Source organism: Homo sapiens, chromosome 6 (assembly GCF_000001405.40).
Source record: "Homo sapiens chromosome 6, GRCh38.p14 Primary Assembly".
NCBI classification, from domain to species: domain Eukaryota; kingdom Metazoa; phylum Chordata; class Mammalia; order Primates; family Hominidae; genus Homo; species Homo sapiens.
Genome location: NC_000006.12, coordinates 156,378,383 through 156,383,927, shown reverse-complemented (window position 1 = coordinate 156,383,927; position 5,545 = coordinate 156,378,383). Strand labels below are relative to the sequence as shown.

General features: G+C 41.9%; 1 non-coding gene across 1 annotated transcript; it reads right to left on the bottom strand.

Moving 5' to 3' along the window:
- Positions 1 to 5,103: 5,103 nt before the first annotated feature.
- SNORD28B (small nucleolar RNA, C/D box 28B) lies at positions 5,104 to 5,178 on the bottom strand. Its single transcript, NR_145751.1, has one exon. It is a non-coding gene; the product is annotated as a small nucleolar RNA, C/D box 28B (small nucleolar RNA).
- Positions 5,179 to 5,545: the final 367 nt, after the last annotated feature.

Below are 5,545 nucleotides of genomic sequence, written 5' to 3'. Positions count from 1 at the left end.
CCAAAAAGCAAAACTTGAATTTGCCATGTGCTGCATACTGTGTTTGACTCCGCATGAATGAAGTGATGTGTAGGCACTGTATTAGGTATCACAAGTAATCTAGAGGTGATTTCAAGTATACAGGAGGATGTGCATAGGTTATATGCAAATGCTATGCCACTTTTTATAAGGGATTGGAGCATCCTATGACTTTGGTATCAGAGAGGGATTCTGGGACCAATCCCCCGTGGGTACCGAGGGCCTACTGTACTTGATGCTTCTGCTCTGGCTTTATTAATTCTGGTGGGACACTCAGCATGCCCCCACTTTCTGTGTTCAAAAGCTCAGCATTCAAATTTTCTCTTCCCTTTTCCTCTAACCCCACAAGCCTTCCATTTAGTAAATCCTAGAATATGCTTGTTGCTTGATATCATTCTCTGCCCTACTCATTGGTTCAGTGCAGTACCAGCCCCACCCACTTTCTGTGGCTTTCTGTGGACACTGGAGTCCACTGTAAATTCACTTGCCTCTCTTCCTCTGAGAAATATGTCCACAGCATCCATGCATTCTTATTATATTGTTTTATATTGTTACTTATGTCTACCTTTCTTCCTCTCTACCTGTGCTACCTAGCTGGATTTGGAATACCTTGTGTATTAGGTCATTCTTGCATTGCTGTAAAGAAATACCTGAGACCGGGTAATTTATGAAAGAGGTTTAATTGGCTCACAGTTCTGCAGGTTGTACAGGAAGCATAGTGCCAGCATTTGTTTCTGGGGAGGTGTCAGGGAGCTTTTACTCATGGCAGAAGGTGAAGTGGGAGAAGACACATCACATGGCCAGAGCAGGAACAAGAGAGAGTGGCGGGGGGAGGTACCATACACTTTTAAAGGACCAGATCTCACACGAACTCACTCACTCACTTACTGACTGTCTTGAAGACAGGACTAAGCCATGAGGGATCCACCTCCATGACCCAAACACCTACCAGGCCCCACCTCCAGCACTGGGGATTACAGTTCAACATGAGATTTGGGTGAGGACACACATCCAAACTCTATCACCTTGGAAGCCAACCTGACACTTCTCCAAGTCTCCCCTCACCACCCAGAAAAGCTCCCCGTGGTCTGGAGACTCAATTACAGCTCTTGTTGGCTGAGGGAGCCCAGACTTTCTGGCAGCATGCAGTGGCGATAGCATTCTGTGTAGCCGCCATGGACCTCAGACACTCCTAGGGCTGATGGAATTGCCTAAAATTGTGCCCTGCAGAACTGTGGGTCCATGGGAGGGGAATAGGCGTGATTAGAAAAAAGTTCCAGGATCAAATAAGTTGGAGGAATGCCACCTCAAACAAGGTTAGCCTTGTCTTTACTGTATGAATTTTCAGAGTCTTGATAGAGCAAATGTTTTCATGAATCTGTAGGTGATTGTGTTTTCCAAATGAATTTGACAGTCCTCCTTTTACAAATAGAATTTTGTAAGGTGAGGGTCTTGTATCATTCTGTGGCAGTTGTCAGCTGTGCTGGGTGTGGCAGAGGACTCCCAGGGACAGACTGCCTTGCACTGTGGGTTCTGCCCTTGCACACATCCATAGATCCATAGGGAGCTCTGCCCTGCTCTATCTCATAGCCATGTTCATGTACTAAGAAGCTGTGGAATATGTTGGTGTTCTATTTTTTAACCTTGTAAGGCTCATGGAAGACTCTGATAATCTACAACACAATCTTAGTTTGGGAGTCCCCTGGAAGTCAGAGATAGTGTTCAATTTGTATGATAGAAAGTGGACACTTAATGGTTTGCCAACTGGCTGAAATTAGTGAGATTTTGATACACTGCATTTCTTTCTCAAAAAAGATCTGATTTAAAATCACTGTTTTAAGTAGACATTTCTAAAGTCTTACTCTTTTTCTAGAAAAAATGTGTTGTCCTTTAATCAAATGACATTATGTTACATTGATATGATGTAAAGATTGAGTAATAAGCAGACGTTAAGCTCTTTTCATTCCTTGTGCACGTTTTCTTTTCACAAAGGTTTTTCCTACTTTTTATTATAGTTCTTGCTATTTGATGACAGTACCTGTAGATTGTAGGATGGTCAATAAGAAGGATAAAAGATAAGCTGCTACTTATTTATCAGAATATATAAGTTCATGTATAAGGGCAGGACTAATTCAAATACTTACGGTGAGTATTTTCTGTAAGCCTTTCATGGGGGAATGGAGAGCCTCTTTCAACAAGGAAATAATTATTACAACCGGAAAGTGGGGAGAAGAGGCAAGGAGCCAGGTTTTCTCTAGCAAATGCAACATCTATTCAAAGGGTCAGACCAACATCTCTAGAGGAGTCACAGCACAGGTCTATCAGAGAAGGGTGCCAGGTACGCATTTTTATTGCCTTTTATAAGTGTGTATGTGTGTGTGTACATGTGCATGGATTTGAAGGGGATCACACTGGGTGTGCCTCAAATAAGGTGTAAGGTAAGGTGAGTTGTGGTAGAGTGTGGGAACCAGGAAGGGGCTGTAGACATCTGGGTTTTAAATTAAGCACTCACCTCTTAAACCAAATCTGTTATGAAGTCACCATGATTGACCAAACATGCAACCAAAGAGCTGACGCTATGCACACAAGGACATTAAGATGGGACCTGTTTTCTTCGAATTTCATCTCACTCTTTGGAGAGTCAGACTCTAGTCTGACTCTAGTGCTCTCAAGAATCACTTTTAGGGCCGGGTGCAGTGGCTCACATCTGTAATCCCAGCACTTTGGGAAGCCGAGGTGGGCGGATCATGAGGTCAGGAGATCAAGACCATCCTGGCTAACACGGTGAAACCCCGTCTCTACTAAAAATACAAAAAATTAGCCGGGCGTGGTGGCAGGCACCTGTAGTCCCAGCTACACAGGAGGCTGAGGCAGGAGAATGGCCTGAACCCGGGAGGTGGAACTTGCAGTGAGCCAAGATCGCACCACTGCACTCCAGCCTGGGCAACAGAGCAAGACTCCGTCTCAAAAAAAAAAAAAAAAAAAAAAAAAGAATCACATTTAGATGGTTGTTAAAATCCAGATTCCAGGGACTTCTCTCCCCAAAATTCAAGTTCAGTAGGTCTGGGGTGGGAGCCTGGAATCTGCATTTTCAGCAGGTACTCAGATGCTTCTGATAGAGTTAGCATGTGCTCAGAGCCACCTTCAGAACCACTGGCCTGGAAGACTCCATTTCTGGGCAGTGAATGGGCCCATCTGTCTCCCTGCTGGATAAAGCTTGCCCGTAAACCATGCAGCCTGGCGGTGCTATCAAGATAATACTGCAGTCGGAACCCAGATGAGTCATATGTAAACTTATTAAGTTCAAATGTTTTTATAAGCAACTTATCCTTTTCAAAAATCAGGTTATAATAGATTTGGGAGGGAGTCTTTGAGTTTGCTTGTCAGAAACAATACCAAATGCAGATTTGGGGACATTACCACCCAAGCAATGGATTCTGTAATTGCAGGAGCCTAAATCTTTGTTGACGATCAGATGACTAATTATACTGGACTTCTCTACAGGAGTCCTGCTGTGTGTTACATATTTCTGGCCTCTTATTATCTGGAATGCAGTAAACCAGCTGCATGTTAAAAGCCCTTCTTTCACCTTAAAAGTGTCCCAGGAGGTTCTTTCTTTCTGTCCCACAGAGTTTAGAGCCTCCCCTGAGGCATGGGCCTCAATCTTTGCTAAATTAACTCTTCAGGTATTTTTCTCTCAGGATTGGATGGGGAGAATCTCAATTGCACATAAATTACAGAGTCAGCACTCTGTGGGACATTTATGTAAATTGTAGCCTTGAGTTTAACCTAATCCTAAAACAGTTTAGATTTTATGCAAAACTAGTTTAACACTGATCATTGCTGTATTCTCAGGCTGCTGATAAAATGAGAACAACACGGAACTTTTCTCAATGCTTATTTTTGTTTTGCTGGTCTTTAATATGTAGGCAGAATTTTTTTTTTTTTATGGGCCAGTCTCTGACACTTCATCACGTAACTCAGGCTATTAGTGTTTCTCAAAGTCCAACTTGCAATACTATTATCAAAATCTAAGGGGGAAAGAAATGTCTTTTGTCAGATCAAAATCCAGTCTAAGTGGTGTGAAACAATGCCATTCTTCTATTAAATGTGTATTTGAGTAACCGTGTGACAATTAGATAATTTGGATGTTTCTCTGCCTGTCATAGCAACTAGGGAGATATTCATCCACTTCCATGTTGATGGCATAATCTTAGTATCACCTACCGGAATGGCCATAAAACACGAATGAGCTCTTTTCCTGATTATCATCAGAAAGTATCTACTATGTGAAAGCTAAAATTATCGTGGCTGGCCAAGATTCCTCAGAGATAAGCTAGACTTTGTCCTAACTGGGAAATTCTAAATGAATAACTCATGCAGACTTAAATAAGATGACAAATGTAAAAATTCTGGGTAGAATGTGAAGCTCTATTCATGTTAGAGACTATTTTTGTGGTTCTTGCGGGTACCTATGGCAGCTAACAGCCTGGTGGGCTCATCAGAATTTAGAGCCATTGACAATCTGAAATTATCCTGGGGTCATATTGGGATTTAAAAATCATTGAGGTACCCAGGCAGTAAGCCTTAACCTTAAACATTTCAGACCAAAATATTTTCTTTCCTTCTTTGGCTCAGAAATCTGGGGATTGCAATCCAAAATCTGTCAGAGTACTTGAGCAGATTTCAAATCCAGTTTTTATAAAAGGCTTTGGCCCTAGCTTTGGGCCAGTGGTTCTCAACTGGGGTTGTTGTTCTCCCTACCTCCAGGGGACATTGACATTTTTACTTTTCACAACTGGGTAGAGTACTACTGACACATAGTGGGCGTGTAGTAAGGTGCCAAACATCCCACATCCTACTATGCACAAGACAGTCAGTGCCCCCTCCCCCAGCCTAAGAATTATCTGGCCCCAAATTTCAAGAGTGTTGGAGTTGAGAACTGCTCCTGGCCATCAGGGGATCACACTGGGTGTGCTTCTGTGCTGGCATTTCATCAAGGTGAGAACCAGGCTCCTTTGTTTCCTCAGAAGGTCTTCAGTTCTGCATCTGGCATCGAACGAAGACTCAGAGATTCTTCTCTTTTTTCATAACAACTTTAACATGCTCTTAACTGTCATTCCTCACAGAACCTCAGCTTATCAATTCAAATCATCTGAAGAGATTCCTCTTTAATTGACTCTGTGACTTCTTGATACAGAAGCCCTTGTCAGGGTTGTCAACTCTAAAAACAATTAAGAATTTGCCAAAAGGTCAACAGAGTTTTAATTTTAATTTGTTTTAATTTTAATTTAGTTTTAATTTGAAGGGGACAATTCAAAGAATATTTTGCTCATTTATTCTTCTAGTGTCTCTAAAATCTTTCCCTGCCTTGAGTAGATGTTGAGAAGAAAAAACACACAAGTTAACAAATACACATTTTATTGTCTCAGTTTTCCAAATATTTCCAAATTGGAGTGATATGATAGTAAGCCCCTGAGATGGGTTAGTTAATGAAAGACACCTGTAGAATTCCTTATAAGTGTTG